Source organism: Homo sapiens, chromosome 6 (assembly GCF_000001405.40).
Source record: "Homo sapiens chromosome 6, GRCh38.p14 Primary Assembly".
Taxonomy (NCBI): Eukaryota; Metazoa; Chordata; class Mammalia; order Primates; family Hominidae; genus Homo; species Homo sapiens.
In genome coordinates, this window is record NC_000006.12 from 126,080,725 (window position 1) to 126,099,815 (window position 19,091).

Consider the following 19,091-nt stretch of genomic DNA (forward strand, 5'->3'; position numbering starts at 1 on the left):
TAGTTAAAACGGGAGCATTCAGTGTTCAAGATACAGATGATGTCTGAGCCCAAGTTTAACTCACAGTGGGCCCAGTTGGTCAGTTGACCCCCCTGTAGTTATTGCCCCAGTTCCTGAATGTATAATGGGAATAGACATACTTGGCAACTATCAGAATCTCCACATTGGCTCTATGACCCCTAGGTTTAGAGCCATTATGGTAAGAAGGATAAAGTGGAAGCCTCTGGAACTTCCCATTACTACAAAGATAGTAAACCAGAAGTGATATTGCATCCCTGGGATGAATTGCAGAGACTTGTGCCACTGCCAAAGACTTGAAATGTACTGGGTGATACCTACCACATACCCATTTTACTTACCTGTTTGGTCTCTACAGACATTGAATGGATCTTGGAGAATGACTGTGAACCATAAATTTAATCGGGAGGTAATTCTAATTTCAACTGCTATCCAAAAAATGGTATCTTTACTGGAGTAAATAAACACAGCCCTTGGCACTTGGTGTGTAGCTAGTGACCTGAAAAATGCCTTTTCTTCCATACCAATATGCAAAGGCCACTGGAAACAGTCTGCTTTTATCTGGCACAGCCAAGAGTAGACTTCACGCTCTTGAGTCAGAGCTATGTCAATTCTTTCTTCTATTATACAGTCCACAGAGAAATTGATTAGCTTGACATTGCACAAAAATGTAGGGGACACTGGTCTTCTACATTACGATATTGACTGGCTCTAATAAGCAGAAAGTAGTGCATCAGATGCCTTAGTAAGACATATGTAAACTAGAGAGTGGGACATAAACCCTACAAAAATTCAGGGGCCTTCAGTGAGGTTCTGGGGACTCAGTGGTCTGGAGTAAGGGGATAAGTTTCTGGATCTAACACCATCTACCATGAATAAAGAGGTAAAATGCTTTGTAAGCAGTTAAAACAATTTTTTTGGAGGTCACATATACTACATTTGAGTATACTACTCCCACCTATTTACTGAGTTACCCAATAGGCTGCCAGTTTTGATTGTGGACCAGAGAGAGAGGGGGCCCTGCAGCAATTCCAGCTTCAGTGACTGCTGCCCTAACACCTGGGCCTTATGTTCCAGCAGATCCAGTGATAATATGTGCATAGCAAATAGGGATGCTGTTTGGAGCTTCTGGCAAGTACCGAAAGGAGAATCATAATGCAGATCTGTAGGGTTTTGGAACTAATCTGTGCTCTCTTCTTCAAGTAATAATTTTCCTTTTCAAAACAGTTTCTGGCTTGCTACTGGACCACCCAAAGACTAAATGCCTAACCATGGGACACCAAGATACTATGTGATGTGAGCTTCCCATTATGAATTCAGCGTTGTCTGATGCACCTAGCCATAAGGTTGAGTGTGGACAGTGCAATCTATCTTCAAGTGGCATTCTTTACAATCAATTAAATGACAGATCTTGAGCCTAGTTTAGAGACGGTCTTGCATATTATGCCGATACCACCGAAAGTGGACAGCTCCATTGTTACAGCCTTAGGGGTGACTCTGATAATATGTATGTCCTATTGTTTCTGTTTCTTTGAACCCTGGTTAATAGAATATATAATATTGCTGTAATGTAATATACTGTATTATATTATCAATATATTGTGTATTTTATTAAAATACTAATATTATATATTACAATGTAATATCAATTGTGCACTATAATATACATGTGTAATAATGTAATAGCAATGGACCATTCACTTTGTGTTCTCTTGTTGGAAGACTTGGTTGCCACCTTGCAGAATCTTGTCCCAAATCATTATCATGTTTACTTTTTATAGTTTCTTTTTCACATTGAAAATTAGTCTTAGGGCATATCCTCTATGCTCTAAAATGATTTATAATCAAATTGTGATCTACTTTATGTCAGGTTTCTCAGTGTTCTAGTTTTGAGCCAGGAAACTTTATCAAATGTATAATGGGGACTCATAGAGCCTTGAAACTTAATCAAATTTATAAAAGGGACTTTATTTTATTCTATTTTTTTGCCATTTTGGAATTTTATGTCCTATTTAAATTGTTCTCTAGCTTTTAATTCAAAGGTCATTGTTTTCAACAGATAAAGAAGCAGGTACAAAGATTCACCCTAATACAATAAGCGTCACTGAAAAATTATAGTTAAAAATAAGAAGTGGTTAAAGTAGTGGTTAACAAGGAAACAATAAGCAACATGAAACAGCAGCCTACAGATGAGAAAAAAATATTTGCAAACCACATATCTCATAAGGGGTTAATATCCAAAATTTATAAAGAACTCATACAACTCAAGAGTGAAGAAACAAATCACCTGATTATAAAATGGGCAAAAGACTTGAATAGATATTTTTCCAAAGAAGACATAAAAATGGCTAATGGGTATATTAAAACCTCTTCTTGTTTTTAACCATGATTGTTTGCTGGAAGCTTCAGCTTATTTGGAGAGTTTCACTTTTCTGACATTCTTTCGGTCCCTGACAAACTGGTGTCCCATCATGGTTTCTCTCTATGAGGCAACCTGAAGTGCCATCATTGAGTTTACCAACAGTAGTCTCTAACCCTTCTTTCTGCCTGGAGTACTGTTCATTTCCCTGACCCCAATGTACCTAAGCCTAAGCATTAATATCTTTTGCTCTGGAAGATCTATGACTCTTTGCACTAGGTTTGATCCCTTCAGTTAGGTAATCTGCTATTTACTTCCATAGTATTCCATACCTTCCTTTTCTGAATTTTCAGCAAACTTTCATTATTGGTTAAGTGTATTTATTATAAATACATTATATTGTGCATATGTAAGGTATACAACATGATGTTATGGGATACATATAGATAGTAAACAGATTATTATAGTGAAGCAAATTAGCATATACATCAGCTCACACACTTTGCCATTTTTGTTTTTGTTTTTGTGGCAAGAACAGCTAAAGCTACTCAGCATGAGTTTCACATACAGAACAATTTTATTACATAAAGTCCTCATGTCGTACATTAGATCACTAGACTTATTCGTCATACATATCTGCTACTCTGTATCCTCTGAATTACATCTCCCTATTTCCTTCCCTCCCAATCACTGGTAAACACTATTTTGCTCTCTCTTTCTGTATATTTGATTTTAAAAATATTGCACATATAAGAGAAATTATTTTCTGTGTCTCATAATGTTCTCCAGTCTGATGCATATTGTGGCAAATGGCAAGATCTCATTCTTTTTTAGGACTGACTAATATTCCATTGTATATATGCACCACAGTTTCTTTTTCCATTTGTCCATTGACAGATACTTAGGTTGTTTCCATATCTTAGCTCTTGTGAATAATGCTGCAATGAATACAGGAGTGCAGGTATCTTTACAAGGTGGTGATTTTATTTCCTTTGGCTACATGCCTAGAAAATAGATTGCTGGGTCATATAGTAGTTTTAATTTTAATTTCTTTAGAAGTCTCCATACTGTTTTCCATAATGACTGTACCAATCTACATTCCCATCAACAGTGTATAAGAGTTCCCTTTTTTCCAAACCCTCACCAACATTTGTTATCTTCTGACCGTTTGATACCAGCCATCATAACAGTGGAAGGTGGTATCTCATGGTGGTTTTGATTTGCATATCCTTGGTGAGTAATGATGTTGAGCACCTTTTCATACACCCATTGGCTATTTTTATGTCTTCTTTGGAAAAATGTCTTTTGCCCATTTTATAATCAGGTGATTTGTTTTTTCACTCTTGAGTTGTATGAGTTCTTTATAAATTTTGGAATATTAACCCCTTATCAGATATATTCCAATCCATAGGCTACTGTTTCATTTTGTTGGTTGTTTCCTTTACTGTGCAGAGCTGTTTGGTTTGATGTAGTCTCATTTATGTATTTTGCTTTGTGGCCTGAGCTTTTGGTATGATACCAAAAAAATCATTGCCAAGGCCAATGTCCAAGAGCTTTTCCTCTCTTCTAAGAAAACATAATCTTATATTTAGGTCTTTTACACATTTTGAGTTGACTTTTGTATATGGTGTAAAATAAGAGTAATTTTGTTTCAGCCTTAAGAAGAAAATCCTACCAGTTGTGGCAACATGGATGAACCTGGAGGATATTGTGCTAAATGCAACAAGCCAGACACAGAAAGACAAACATTGCATGATCTCTATGAGTCTAAAAGGGTCAAACTCATAGAAACAGAGAGTAGAAGGGTGGTTACCAGAAATTGAGTGGTGGGAGAAATGCAGAGATGCTAGCCAAAAGGCACACACTTTTGCTTAAAAGGTAAATAAGTTCTGGAGACCTGAGGTACAGCATGATGACTATAGTTAATAATAATGATGTTCTGCTATGTGAAATTTACTGAGAGTAGATCTTAAGTGTTCTTGCTCCTCCCTAACAAAATGGTAACTATGTGAGGTGATGGGTATGCTAATTAGCTTGATTGTGGTAATCATTTCCCAGTGTACACAAATATCAAAACATCATGTTGTACACCTTGAACATATATAACTTTAATTTGTCAATTATACCTCAGTAAAGCTGAAAAAAATTATTCCCCTAAAAATGTTCATCTTTTTTACTAGCCTGTACATTCTGCTAGGGCAGGGATCTGACTTGGTTTCTGACATATAGAATTAGTTAACATGTGCCAGGCAGTACTCTAGATCATTAGTTATTTAGGGAATGAACCTATTCTAATTTCATAGGAGGCCTTTTTCCCATTTTCTTTTGGTCTCTTGCTGTTTCAAATTCCTTTAACTTCTGAACATAACAAACATTAGAAAAATGTTTGCTATGTGAGGTGGCATAACATATTTAACATGAGAAAAATTGTTTCCTCCGGCCCTGATCGTGCCTTAATGTCTTCCATGTACTCATGAAGACCTGCAGTGTCAGTAAGCTGCAATAGGCAAATCCTTGGCACAGTGGAATTCAACAGTCAGTTGACATCCTGTCTGAGTTCAAGGTGATGCCTGCCTGTTGTCTCTTTTCTAGACTCAGAGGTTAAAACAAATGGATGATTGAGGGAAGTAAACATACTCTGTATGATACTATCATGATAGATATATGTCAGTATACGTTTGTCCAAACACTCTGTACATCAGAATTGAATCCTAAAGAAATATGTACTTTGGGCGATGATGTGTCAATGTAGTTTCATTAATTGTAACAGATGTATCACTTGTAGAATATTGATGACAGTGGAGATGATGCATGTGTGGTCTGTAACTTCCTCTCAACCTACTGCTACTCTAAAAAGTAAAATCTTCCTAAAAACAACAAAAATGACACAAACAAAACAAAACAAAACACAAAACAAATGAATGAGAAGTGGTATCAGAGGTCTATGGTTTTAACAGTTGGAGGAAAATGTCCTTAGATGCTTCATATTAAAAGGATGCATTTTCTAGTCTCTAATTCTTAGGCTGATTTACTTTAAACTAACAGATTAAAAGGAAGCACGACTCAATTCAGATATTATCTAGATAAAAGTGTGAATGAAAATTTGCCCGGTTTAATACATCAGATCATGAATGAATTACTTAAACATCCATTATTACCTAAACATATTTGTTTCACTTAGTTCCTAGCAAAATCTATTGAAGCCACAATGAGTGTAAGAGTGGATAGATTAGTTACAGGCATCACATCCATCCAGTGTCCCGAGCTAGAAACCGAGATAACATTCTTGATTGCCCTTTCTCCATTCCCATACCTATCCTTATCAAGTCATTCACCAAATTTTGTCAGTTCTACCTCCTACTGCCTCTCAAATTCATCCCTTTTTCTACATTTGAATTTCTACTACTATGGTTCATAGTTTCATTATTTCTCAAGCAGATTGCTGTGTCTACCTCATCCCGTCTCCCTGCCTTCAGTCCATTTTCCAAATCACAACCTAGGTAAGTCAGATCGTGCATTTCCCTGCCTACAGTACTTCAGCAATTCCATGTTGTTACAGAGTTAAGTTCATGATCTTTGGCATTGCATACTAGGTCTTTCATACTTGATTCCTGTTCACTTCTTTGTCTTATCTTGATCACTTCCTCTATTCTCTAAGTTTCATTACATCACGTGACTTTAAGTATTTGTATATATTTCTTCCTCTGAAGGCCTGTGGTGATCTTTTCTCTTTTACTTGTTCAGCTATAACCTTTTGCTTTGACTATAGTGGGGGCACCACTCTGAGAAGGGTTTCCTCTCTGGCCTCCCCATAGCTCCCTGTGCATACCTTTATCATGGTATTATTCATATTGTGTTCTGGTTCTCTTTTATATTTTTCTACTGCTTTCCAATCCTCCAAAGAATTATAAGTTATTTAGAGGCAGGAGCTGTTGAATGAATAAATTAATGAATACAAGAAAAAGAGTAAATATCTAAGAGTTTCCTACTCCCTTTATTAGTTCACAAACGTGGTCAAATTAATAGTTTACCAATTATAAACCATCATAAGCTCTATGCAGAAGCTCGCTTTTGTTCTAACCGAATACACTGTTCTTCAAAGACACAAATGACATTAAATGTTTTGCAAATGAACCCACTGGAGTGCAGGAAGAACATTATATTGGAAAATATTAAACAACCTGAAACAAAAAGCAGATCATTTCCCAACCACAAATTGCAAATTAAAGAAAAAAAATTCTAAACCAAGATTAAAACCTACTTTAAAGTAAGTACTGCCAACACTTTAAAGGGAGGGCACAGTCAAATCAAAGGATGAAGACAAATGGTAAACTAAAGAACATTAGCCAAGAAAATAAAATGTCAAGAAGCCCACTTGAACAATGAGTGAAAATGAAACAAATTCAAGTTTTAAAAATATTTGATTTCTATAGGATTGCTTCTTTGTTTTTGTTTTTCTCCATAAGCTGATCTCAGAAACTTTTCCTTTGCAGGAAGAGGCTGTCATTTTATCATGGTGTGTGTTTGTTCACGTGCCACACAGGCAATGAATTATGAAGAAAGGAGAGCCTTGTAGGAGGCAGGGCCAGGCTGTTCTTGCTTTTAAACTAGGTAGCCACAAATAAGGCTCAGTTAGAAAAACAACTTGAAAACTGAATTCTTCCCAACGTATTACACATCCCAAAAGAAATGCTGAAGTTTCTTCCTCTTTTCTCTCTGTTTCTGCAAATCCTACCACTTCAAGACCTTAGTTTTCCCAAGCTTCCAGCTTCCCCAGAGATTCTGACCACTTTGGCCATTTCTCCTGACCTCCTTAAGAGCTTTGGAATCAGACTATTTAATTGTTCATATTATTGTTATAGTTATCTCTAATGATGTTTTTGTGTGTATGCATTGCCTCTCTAATTAGATTATTCCCTCTGCCAATAACTCTGTTATTCACTTTAAAAAATTATTTAATGACCATTATTAGCACAATGTGCAATATTAGTATATAGTGTATATAGTACATAGTCTATATAGTATATATACTCTCTCTATATATAGTATATATACTCTCTATAGTATATAGTAAGCACTCAGTAAGCATTAAAGTTAAATTGAATTAAATTTTATGACAGATTATTTTCCTCTTTCAAAACTATTAATGGAAACAAAAATCAGACTGTGACCGTCTTCATCATCCCTGTATATAACAAGTATTTTCTTTTTTCCTTTTTCAAATTATAAGCTTATGCCACACCAGTGGTTTTCAACTCTGGATGTACATTTGAGTCACCTGGAGAACTAAAAAAAATACAGATGGTAAGGCCGCTACTTAGACCAATCTACCAGCAGGTGTAAGGAGTTTTAAAAGATCCCAGATGATTCTAACATGCAGACGGAGTTGAAAAGCACTGGACTATACCAACTGATAAGTGAGTCAATCAGTAGCATTTATTGAACACCAGGGCAAATCTATTCAAGATTACCTTGGTAACTATTCCTGTGGGTTTCTATCAACTGCCCAGTAATTTAAGTGTGCAAAGCTATATATGAACTTTTAGGCTTCTCAAATATCCAAATGTCCACTTTGTGTGTAGGTACTTTCCTTCTAGACATCTCTTTATAGTGAACAGTAAACAGTATGAGCATCTTTTAATTAGAGAGTAAAATGGGAGAACCAAAGTCCAAGAAATGTAGGGGGTTTGGTGAGAACAGACATTTAGATTGATTTTATATACTTAAAGGGAAAAAGAGAATTGACTTATATTGCTAGAGAAATCAAATCCCAAACTGTTTTCATCTGAAACCTACATCACTTTTTATATCTAAAATAGCTAGTTATTTCAAATTAGCTAGCTAATTCAAGAATGAGAATTAGTTCTCAATTATTTGGATAATTGCATAAATTGCTAGTTTTGGTTGTATTTATTTACAGACCAATATCACCTTGTCTTATTTTGTAATTTTAAAATTACTTATTGAGCTCTCACTACATATTATACTCTCTGCAAAGCTCTTTACATGTAATCTTTTTTTTTTTTTCCCAAGATGGAGTCTTGCTCTGTCACCCAGGCTGGAGTGCAGTGGCGCGATCTTGGCTCACTGCAACTTCCATCTCCCGGGTTTGAGTAATTCTCCTGCCTCAGCCTCCTGAGTAGCTGGGATTACAGGCGCCTGCCACCGTGCCCAGCAAATTTTTGCATTTTCAGTAGAGACAGGTTTTCACCATGTTGGCCAGGCTGGTCTTGAACTCCTGACCTCGGGATCCGCCTGTCTCGGCCTCCCAAAGTGCTGGGATTACAGGAGTGAGCCGCCGCACCCACCCTACATGTAATGTTATTTAATTATCAGACTATTTATTTGAATCATGTGCTAGTATAACACCTGTTATACACACAAGGAAACTGAGGCTGGAGTAGTTAAGAAACTTACCCCGGGTCACATGGTTACTGAGAAACAAAGGCAGGATTCAAACTCCGGTCTGTTCAGTTGCAAAGTTCTTGTCCTCTGCACTGTGCTCCCAGTAATAACTTCTGCCACCTCGTCCTGCTGAATGAAGAACTGAATGAAATGCTTAACCTGAAATCCAAGGGTGATGGAAAAAAAATAAATGGTAGAGGTTTTCTTCTTAATTTAAGTTCAACTGTAAGTCATTAGGAATTTATGTCTACTGTAATTGTGTTTGTAACTTTCCACTAGAAAGTGTTTTGGATGATCTTGTAAAATTTCACAGAAAATTCATGGGATTTTTTTCCAATGTTAAAAGATGAGAAAGAGCAGCAATGTGGTGCTAATGCACAGTTTATTTATAAGGAAATTATAGACTACATTAATACAACTACCTTCAGCTTAAATCCAATGACAGTTCAACTCCTGGTTCTTGAACATGCCATTTCATGCCTCTGTGATGTGCACATGTTGTCTGCTCCACCTGGCCATGTATCCTTCCTCCCCTTGGCCATGTCTGTGTGTCAAATGCCAGCCAGTCCTCCAAGACGCTCAGACATCTTTCCCTTATTGAATTCTTTTCACCCCTGCCCTGGGAGCCTAAACTTTTCTTTGCACCCCTATCTCAGTTTGTACCTTATCACTTGCTCTTTTACAGTTTTCACAGATCTCATGGCAACTCTTTCTCATATGTCTGTCTGATGAAGAGTGAAGCCTCTTTGGTGCAGGACTGTTTTTTGATCCTTGTATCCCCAGTGCTGAGCATAGAGTATACGTTCAATAGACAGTTGGATGAACTTTTGAGTGAAGTATGACTTAGACAAATTGCAATTTCCCTAACAGACCATGCTGTGAAAGTTGTGAAAAGCCTTCACCCTGATCTGATTAGATTTCTACTACATTTGAAAACCTGTCACCCTCCTAAATTTTTTTAAGGGAAGTATATGTACACACATACAAGTAAACAATTTAATATTGAACATAGACAAAGCCTTCTCTGGAAGCAATTAGTTGATTTACAGTGCCATTGGTAGCAGTTTTATGTATGTGGGAGTGTATGAATGTAAATCTTGGCCTCATGGAGTCATTTCTCTCTCTTGAAAATTTGAGATTCTATGTAATACTAAAATTTAATACACCAAGACATCCTTAGAACATGTTTGCTCTAATACATAAGACTGGTTCATTCTGACATTCATTTGCGGCATTTCCATGACTGAAATAACCACTTTGAGAGAGAATCTCAATCCATACACGTGCGGTATGGGTGTTAGTTAATATGGGAAACAGTATCTGAATCCAGCCTCTTTCTTCAAAGCTTTTCTTTGAAACAGATGTCCTCTCTCTTACCAAGAAGAGAGACTTGGGGCATCTTGTTAAATTAAATTTAGCCTAGGCCGGGTGCGATAGCTCACACCTGTAATCCCAGCACTTTGGGAGGCAAAGGCTTGCGGATAACTTGAGGTCAGGCGTTCGAGACCACCTGGTCAACATGGCGAAACCCAGTCTCTACTAAAAATACAAAAATTAGCAGGGTGCGGTGGCAGGCGCCTGTAATCCCAGCTACGTGGGTGGTTGGCAGGGGGTGTGGCTGAGGGAGGTGGAGGTTGCAGTGAGCCGAGATCGCGCCACTGCACTCCAGCCTGGGTGACAGAGCGAGACTCCATCTCAAAAAAAAAAAAAAAAATTTAGCTTAGAGCTGCCTTCTTACATATTTTAAGTTCAGCTTAAACGTTACTTCATAAGTAGTGAAGTGTAACCTAACTGGAAGTATAAGCAGGCCGTAACCTACGCGTACCAATCACCGACTTTTCGCCACTCACAGGTGGACAACTGTTTAAATGGTGTTCAAATAAGGCAAATGTCGAGCTGTAGCCAATCCAGCTGTTTCTGTACTTCACTTCTGTTTTCTGTACATCACTCCTTTTTCGGTCCATAAATCTTCCACCAAGTTGCAGTGCCAGAGTCTCTCTAAACCTGTTCTGGTTGTGTTGGGGGAGGTGGCTGCCCCATTTGCGAATCACTCTTTGCTCTCTTAAACTCAGTTACGTTAAATTTGTCCAAAGTTTCTCTTTTAACAGTCTTGGGTGCACTCGGTCACACCCTATTTGTCTGGCTTTGTGCTAGGTCCTTTGTGCTGATGCTCAACAGGAAAGGCCTGATGTCTCTCATGGCAACTCTATTGTTTGCATAGAAGCCTAAGGAGCACTAGTTACATTCTTTGACATTGAAATAGTAAAACTCCAGCAGCTATCTCTCAGTCTAAAGAATGCCGTGCAGCTTGATGACACATTGATTGCTTTCCTTTAGTCTTTTCTGGCCGTAAAATCGCCACATGGAAATTCATTCAATTTCTTGAGATCTTTTCAGTTTTCTCAAATTCTGACTTCCTAAAATGTTAATATATATCCCATGTGTTTAAATGATTTAGGATTGAGGTGCTAAAAATAACTCATCACCTACGTCTACGAGTCCTAAGAAACATTTAAGTTGCATGTAATCATATGATTTTAAAATTTAAGGAGCTGTTCGAGAAATATAAAACGGCCAGTTAAGGTAGTTATTCAGATGATTCAGATTTAAAGTAGTCTTGTAATAACTTCATTTGGTGTGTTTAATTACGATGACTTATAGTGGTTGAATTCTCTGTGTAGATTTAGTTTTAATTTTAATTCAACTACCACACCTGGTGTATTAGTTCATTTTCATGCTGCTGATAAAGACCTACCCAAGAATGGGTAATTTATAAAGAAAAAGATGTTTAATGGACTCACAGTTCCACATGGCTGGGGAGGTCTTACAGTCATGGTGGAAGGAGAAAGGCCTATCTTACATGGTGGCAGGCAAGAGAGAGAATGAGAGCCAAGTGAAAAGGAAAACCCCTTAGAAAACCATCAGATCTCATGAGACATATGCACTACCATGAGAACAGTATGGGGGAAACCGCCCCCATGATTCAATTATCTCCCAACAGGGCCCTCCCACAACACGTGGGAATTATGGGAGCTACAATTCAAGATGAGATTTGGGTTTGAGTTTGGGACACAGCCAAACCGTATCATCTGGTTTTCTAACTTTGTTAGATAGACGAACTAGAGAACACAATGAATACAACCTGAGCTTTTTGTTCTTCTTGGTGATTGGTCTGTTTCTTTATTTCTTTACTTTTGTTATGATATTTGGAATCCATGGCAATTGCAACTTCTGCATTTGGCTTGGTGATTTCTAGAAATGTCAGGAATTTTTACCAATCCAGTGTTTCTGTTTCCAAAGATTATTTGCTGGCTGATCAATTGGATATGGAATTATCACCAATAAGTAAATGTGATATACTTTTAATCTGTGACTCAGAAAGTGAGTTCTGCTTATCTTGATGGAGACAAATGACACAGTTCTAGAAACTGGGCAAGAATTCTTAGCTTATTTCAATCTACTCTGGATCCCTTGTTCAAAGTTCTTAAGTGCTGGAATTTGTGGGAAAAGGAATGTAATATTTTAATCTGCCTCATGAACTGTTTATTATTTATGAAATATTTCTCACATTACTTACATAATGGAGATGGAAAGAGGGAGTCTTTTTGGAGAAAGTATTAAATTATTTCCTTCCAAGTCCAAACATAATTTAGGCAGTTTATAAGTTATCCTCACATTTGGTTAGACATAAATCTGAGTTATCTGGGTAAAATAAAAACAAATAACAAATTGGTAGCTTAACTTAGCATATTAACTCTATCACATTGCTTAATATGAACTTCAGACACCTGAGAGACAGAAGTAAACACTATTGGCTCTTCCTGTGGCACTACAAGATTTCTTTCCTCATTTCATACTCTCCGGTTTCTACGTATTTGAAATTTTAAGGTAAATTGACTATAACAATAATTAATTCCAATGTAAGTATGTGAGATGAGAAGTTTGGAGACAAGCAGAAGGGACATGTAACTGCTTTCTTATTATGATTATAATAGTGTTTGAGAAAAACTGGGGTGATGCTGCTTCAATCTTCAAATTGTCTTATTTGGTACTCTAGTGTAGGTAACAGGATATGTATGTATATATATATATATATATATATATATATATATATATATATATATATTTTCCCCCAGTCCTGGAGGATCAATTAGGTGCTGGAACTTGCTCAAGAGCTTAGAAATAGAAAATAAGATTAACTCCTTAGAGTGTTATAAAATTAACACAGTAAGTGGGAGAGTGCAGTTAATCAGGCACTTAAGTAGCTTGAGGCTTATAGTACATGTATACACTCTAAAACTAGTAAGTTAATTTAGCAACTTCATAGGGAATAAGATTAGCCTATAAAAATAAATTCCATTTCTAAATACTAGCAATGAATAATTGCAAATTTCCTGAATGAGTAAAGACTTAACAAAATGCTTTACTCAGCTTCAGAGCTTTTCCACAGTATAATGTGAGTGGCAAGGGAACTGAATGCTTCATGGAACCATGTCTTTCAGCTGACTTTCAGAGTAATGCGTTCTTGAGCAGTTGGTCCTTAATTCATGATTATCTAAGCCAAGCAGTGTAATAGAAAATGTGATACACACACACACACACACACACACCCCAAACTTAGACCCATCTTATTGCTGTTGGCTCTGACTCCTCTTTTTTGATGAAATGACTGGGGTGTATTCTCCTAACTATAGCTATTGAATTTTGTGTGCTTTCCACAGTGACAAAATCTCATGTGTCACTTAGAGCATGGTAGTATCCTTAAATCCTGCATGGAGCTAAGAACTCTATCAAAGAACATATATTCAGCAATAGGATGGAAAAGTGTGTTCTTTTAGAAAAAGAATTTTCTCATTTAAAATTGCTACAATGTCACATGGCACCATCATACATATATAATTGGCAAATTTTTGTGTCAGTGTTGACACAGGCTTAAGGAGCTTTAAATATTTGCGGCCCTGGTCACCTGAATTTGCCATTCTTGATCTTGCCATAGAGAAAGAAAAAACCTTTGGCTTGTTTCGTCAGACTTTCTGCCCAAACCTTAGGCCACAATAGGCACACATTTCCACATTTCCTTTAGTCTCAGAGGCAAGACTATTTCCTGGTTGGCGGGCATAGAGAATGCCAAGGATTTCGTCTAGGCCTGGCCTGAGTTTGAATGTAGAAAGAAGCAAGACAATGGTTCCTTTTTGTAGCTCTTAATTACTGATGTGTGAGCTGAATGTTCAGGAACATTCTTGGGACAAACACTGCAGGTCATATTAACTATGGTCTATTTTCTACCTAATTAATCAAGTATATTATGTGGAGATTTTTCAAAGAACTCTCATATGTGTTAACTCTACCAACACATACTACCTTATTTTACCTTCACAATCATTTTGTAAGGCAGATGGAGATCTGCTTTTTGAAATAATGAAAGAAGCCGGCTTGAGAATCAGATCTAGATTCTAGTGACTACCTTATAGCCTCACTTTCAACTTTCAAGTATGATGCTTCTAAAATGTTCATTGTTTTCATTCTACATTAAGACGAACTATGAAACTCAGAGATTATTTCTTCAAGGTCACATTTTTCATTAGGTCTGGCGCTGACCTTGTAATAGCATGCATCTCTAGAATTTAAGGACAACATACTTGAGATGGCTGGATACCAGGAATGTTTGGAAATGGATACTAGTAATAATCAACACACAATGGATAAGAATGGTCTTTCTAAGTGATAATTTAAGCAACCAATCTTCCCCAAGGAGACAGGTAACCTGAGGAGTACAGATCTGAAAAATAATCTCCTCAGCTATATTGCCTACTGATGATTGATGAACAGTTGAATTATTTGTAGGAATCTGTCAGGGTTTTAAATGTAGTCTAAGGGAGAGGGAGCCACCATAGTCCTTGTGGGAGATCCTGCCCTAGGATGGAGTTGATTGCATAGGCTAGAATTGCTGGATAACCTGCTCACAGGGAATATTTAACACCCTTGCTTTGTTTCTTTCTTTGCAGTATAACCTTCTGATACCAATTTGGCTTTCAATGTAGATCACGTTATTCAGTCAGCAAACATTTCTTGAGTCTGCCAAATGCTAGGCTTCATACATTCAAATATGAGAAATGTGGTCCTCGTCCTTGTGGGGTTTGTGGTCTACTTGGGTTGGAGGAGGGGAGAGAAACCAAACATATAAAAATGAGATACCTATTATAATAAAGGTATGAACAGAATGTAATGGAAGCAACTAACTATGCTGGGCCCAGGTCTAAGTGGGAGACAAAGTAATCAGAACATTTTTTACCTGGGGGCTGACAATCTGACTCTCACAGTATAAGAGAGAAGGAGAGAGCTTTTTAAGTGGGATCAAACATTTCTAAGGCATAGAGGCATGAGAAAGCATAGCTTATTGAGAAAGAATGCCAGGTTTTGTGTGATTGGAGCTTGGATTCTGGGGGCCTAGGAGCAGGGATAGGAGAAAGAAAAGAGGTAACACTGGAGTCACATGGTCCGACACTGGCAGACTTTGATTGCCAGGCCAAGGTTTTTGGGTTTTGTTCTGCAGAAAATGAAGAGCTAATTTCATTTCTTCTCATAAGAGGGAGAAGAGTTTGGTGTGTCCAACCAGTAGGAGAATTCTGTTTTTCTTGGAAGGTAACTTGATGGAAGAGTAGAGGTTTGGGTTTTATGTATAGCCTTTCATTAGGGCCAGTGGATCCATAGAATTCCTGGTGCATTGGCAATTAACCTGATTGGTAAAGTGGTGCTCTAGTTTATCATTCATTCTGTTGTAAATTTTGTAGCTTCAGGCTTCTCTGGGATCTGATCAGCTATGGGTATCTCCAGGAAACTTGATTTTCTGGATCTGCACAATGGAAGACCATTCTGTAGATCATAGGTCACCCTCTGTGGTGTTTTCTACTTCTGTAACCAGCTTGTCTCTAACTCTCAGCAGCAGATTGAAGTTGGACTCCAGGTTCTTTTAATCCTAGCCCATTGCTTACATCATTAGGTCATGCTACCTCTAATTTCAAAAGCTCAAATAAATTAGATTTTAGCTTTTTTTTTTTTATGAGAATCAAATGCTTTAGATAGCATGCTCACCATGGGCATTAGGGCACTGGTACTGATTGCAGTCTTGTCTTTAAGCCTCTGTAAGTCAGGATGAGTCTTCTTAATCTTTGTATCCCCCGTAGTCCCTAGAATGATCCTGTACCTGTAGTAGAAACTCAGTAACTGTTCACTGAGGGATGATTTCACAGTCATATTTCTCCTATAAATAGTTTTTGGCTTGTACCAGGAATCTGTCTCTTGCTAATATTTTGTATTATCTATTAATATGAAATTGATTTAAGTTCATTCAACTTTCTTGGACAATTTCCTTAGGAAAGAAGCTCATTATAACAGAAATGAGAAGGACCAAAATTTGGAGAACAGAATTTAAGGCAGTGAGTCACTACTGCAGATATAAGCTTGGGGTTTATAACCACAGTCAATGGCTGGAATCATTTGTAATTACAGGGAACATTATTTGTCTCATCAGACTATTCTAGATTGCAGACTTTTCTTCTTTCAAACAGCATAACTTTGATGTTAACATATCAAACATTTCTATTTTCCCCCGAAATGTATGATTTGAGGGTGGTAATATGAAATAGAGGAGTTTTCTGATAGTATTGTTAGGAGAGAAGTTTGTGAACTTAGGAGTTCTAATAGAATACTTCAATTAGAAAATGACTTCCCTTCCTGGGAAGGTAATCTTTCTGCCTCAGCCACTCTGTTTATCAGCATTGTTGGAGACCTACTAACTGCTAAAACATAGCAATAAATAATGCCTACATCACAAGACCTATATTTTACATCAAGAAGACCATACAGTAATAAATGGTAATTATTTTAAATAATACTCAAGGGAAGGCAAACTTCCAAAGAATACATTTTCAATGTCCCAGGCTGATGAATAAAGGGAGCATTTTACATCATTTTGGCTATTCTTTCCTTAGGGCAATAGTATATAGTGGTGCTTGCCTGAGAAACATGACACAATTTTTATTTTATTGCATGCATATCAAGCATGAAATTTTCCTTTATTTTTAAAAGTGTCTGAAGCATGGTTCAGGAATTTTTTTTTTAATTCTCGTGTTCTCAAACTGTTTAATCAATTGAAATTAAAAAAAATCTGAACTTCAACCAAGATTTTATCTCATTTTTACTTATTTTGCCTATAAAGATTTAGTTGGCTAATGAAGACTAAAATTTGTTTAAGCCCTGTATTCCTGAACTCTTTCTATCTTTATATTTCAATATGTGTGTGTTCTTGGGGCAGGGGCTGGGGTTGTGGGGAGTAGGAAGAGGAAGTGGGGAAAAGTACTTAAAAATACCTCTTATTCTTTTAAAGAAACATCTCCATACTCTTTTTGTTTATTCTTATGGTAAGTGGTTTTACAAAGTGCTGGGTAGGATAATTTCCCTGAAAATTTCCCTGGATTTTAATGACCTGAAGAATTATTCCAAATTTCTTCCAGAACACTAACTGGAAGAGCATGTGGTCTAGCCTGGAGTTTCCCCACTGTTTTTCTGGATGGGTCACACCTCTAGCCTCAGAAGGCCACCCTGGAGAAAAAATGCTTTCCTCCTCCCTGCCTTCCCTACCTGCTAAGCTAAGTTTGAGGTACTTACTGTGCTTGGCGTCCACTCACTTCCCACCTCTGATCTCCTGATGTGTTTGCTGCTGCGTTCATTTCCTTGGGGGCAGGCGCTGCACAGCTCTCCCACAGGTCTTGACACCTCCTCCCAGTCCTGCCCACTCCTAACTCTTCCACTCTCCTTAGAATTTGTCTTCTCTTTGTTTCAGATGCTGTTTAAATTTTGAAGAATAATTCTATGTGAATCCTGTATGTTCCTTTTAGACATATTTGCCTTTTATAAAAGCATACTTCAGATGCATTTTTATAATGGAAAAGAAGGAATGGTGGTTATTTCTGGTTCCATAAAGGTCTGAGCTTTTAAAAAGTACCTCAAATCACTCCCTATAGACCACAGTGACTGTACAACCTGTTTGCATCCTCTCCCCAGCAGCAATTCTCTGTCTTTCACCTCCAACATTGTTGCAATTACCTCCTTTCTTTATTCTCTTGTTAGAAATCTGTGAAATGAGATTGGCGGGGGATGAGGGGCTATGAAAAGTTGGAGAAGAGTGTAGTTAGTAGAAGCTGACTAAGGAATATTAACATCTCTGTGACATTCCCTTACTCTAGTGATCACTCAAGGATCAGTTTTCCTATTTGTCACATGGGCCTAGATAAACAGATGGGTACACCATTTTGTTCTTTCATGTTTCAGTAGTTTAGGAAATTTCCACAAAGGGGATTTTTTTTAAAGTAGGTAAGAAATTATGGGTTTAAGCTACTAATTAATTCAGAAAATGTAGGCATTCAACAAGATCCATTAACTCCACAAATATGTATTGAGAACTGGCTACGTGTCATTCACAGTTGGTAGGTACATAATTAGGTAGCTGTCACATAGGATTAAATCTACCTAGGAGTTGCTTCTCAGCCTCCCACTTTTGGAAGTTACTTCTCATTGCTAGAAGCTTGGTGGCATTCTTAAATTATTCATTGTTAGCTTCTTATCATTTGGTTGTCCTTCAGGAATATATTGCATTTATATAGAATTGTATACTTCTTCAAACGTGCTGTATTTTGAATTCAGGGGAGAAAATTTTCCCCAGATTTCAGTAAATCTGTGCACTTTGGTGTGGTGTTAATACCGCACATCTTTGCTTTCACTTACACATTCTCTACTTGCTCAGCAAGACTCTGGGTAATGGTTTTGCTCTACATATCCTGTATTAAAATGAAAATAAATTTAGTGCATCAATCAAAATTTGGCCACCTACCTGTGACCTGCTGTGATAACTAATGGGCTTTAGGTAATTGACTTTCCGTGTACTGACAGTTGTGACTTAGTGCTGAGATTTTCCAGATGACTCTGATCTACTTCATGGATGGCAAGTTGGATCCCTCTACCTTCCGAGGTCAGGAGTGCAAGCCCAGCCTGGCCAATGCGGTGAAATCCCATCTCTACTAAAAATTCAAAAATTAGCCAGGCATGCTGGCAGCCACCTGTAATCCCAGCTACTCGGGAGGCTGAGGCAAGAGAATCACTTGTACAGGGGAGGCGGAAGTTGCGGTGAGCTGAGATCGTGCCACTGCACTCCATCCTGAGTGACAGAGCAAGACTCTGTCTCAAAAAACAAAACAAACAAACAAAAAAGAAGTAGAATAAACAATTGTTATTTTTATTTTTTAAATCCCAG

The 19,091-nt window shown here is 37.4% G+C and overlaps 1 protein-coding gene across 26 annotated transcripts in view; it reads left to right on the plus strand.

Annotated features, from left to right (window-relative positions):
• TRMT11 (tRNA methyltransferase 11) overlaps positions 1-19,091 on the plus strand; it is a 285,804-nt gene that overhangs the window by 94,185 nt on the left and 172,528 nt on the right. Inside the window, exon 15 of one of the 26 annotated variants that reach the window (XR_007059322.1) lies at positions 1,246-5,392. The exons of the other annotated variants lie outside the window; for them this stretch is intronic. The gene's annotated coding sequence lies outside the window, so the exon portion shown is untranslated. Of the gene's footprint in view, positions 1-1,245; positions 5,393-19,091 lie in introns of those variants that run through there. 26 annotated transcript variants of the gene reach the window in all.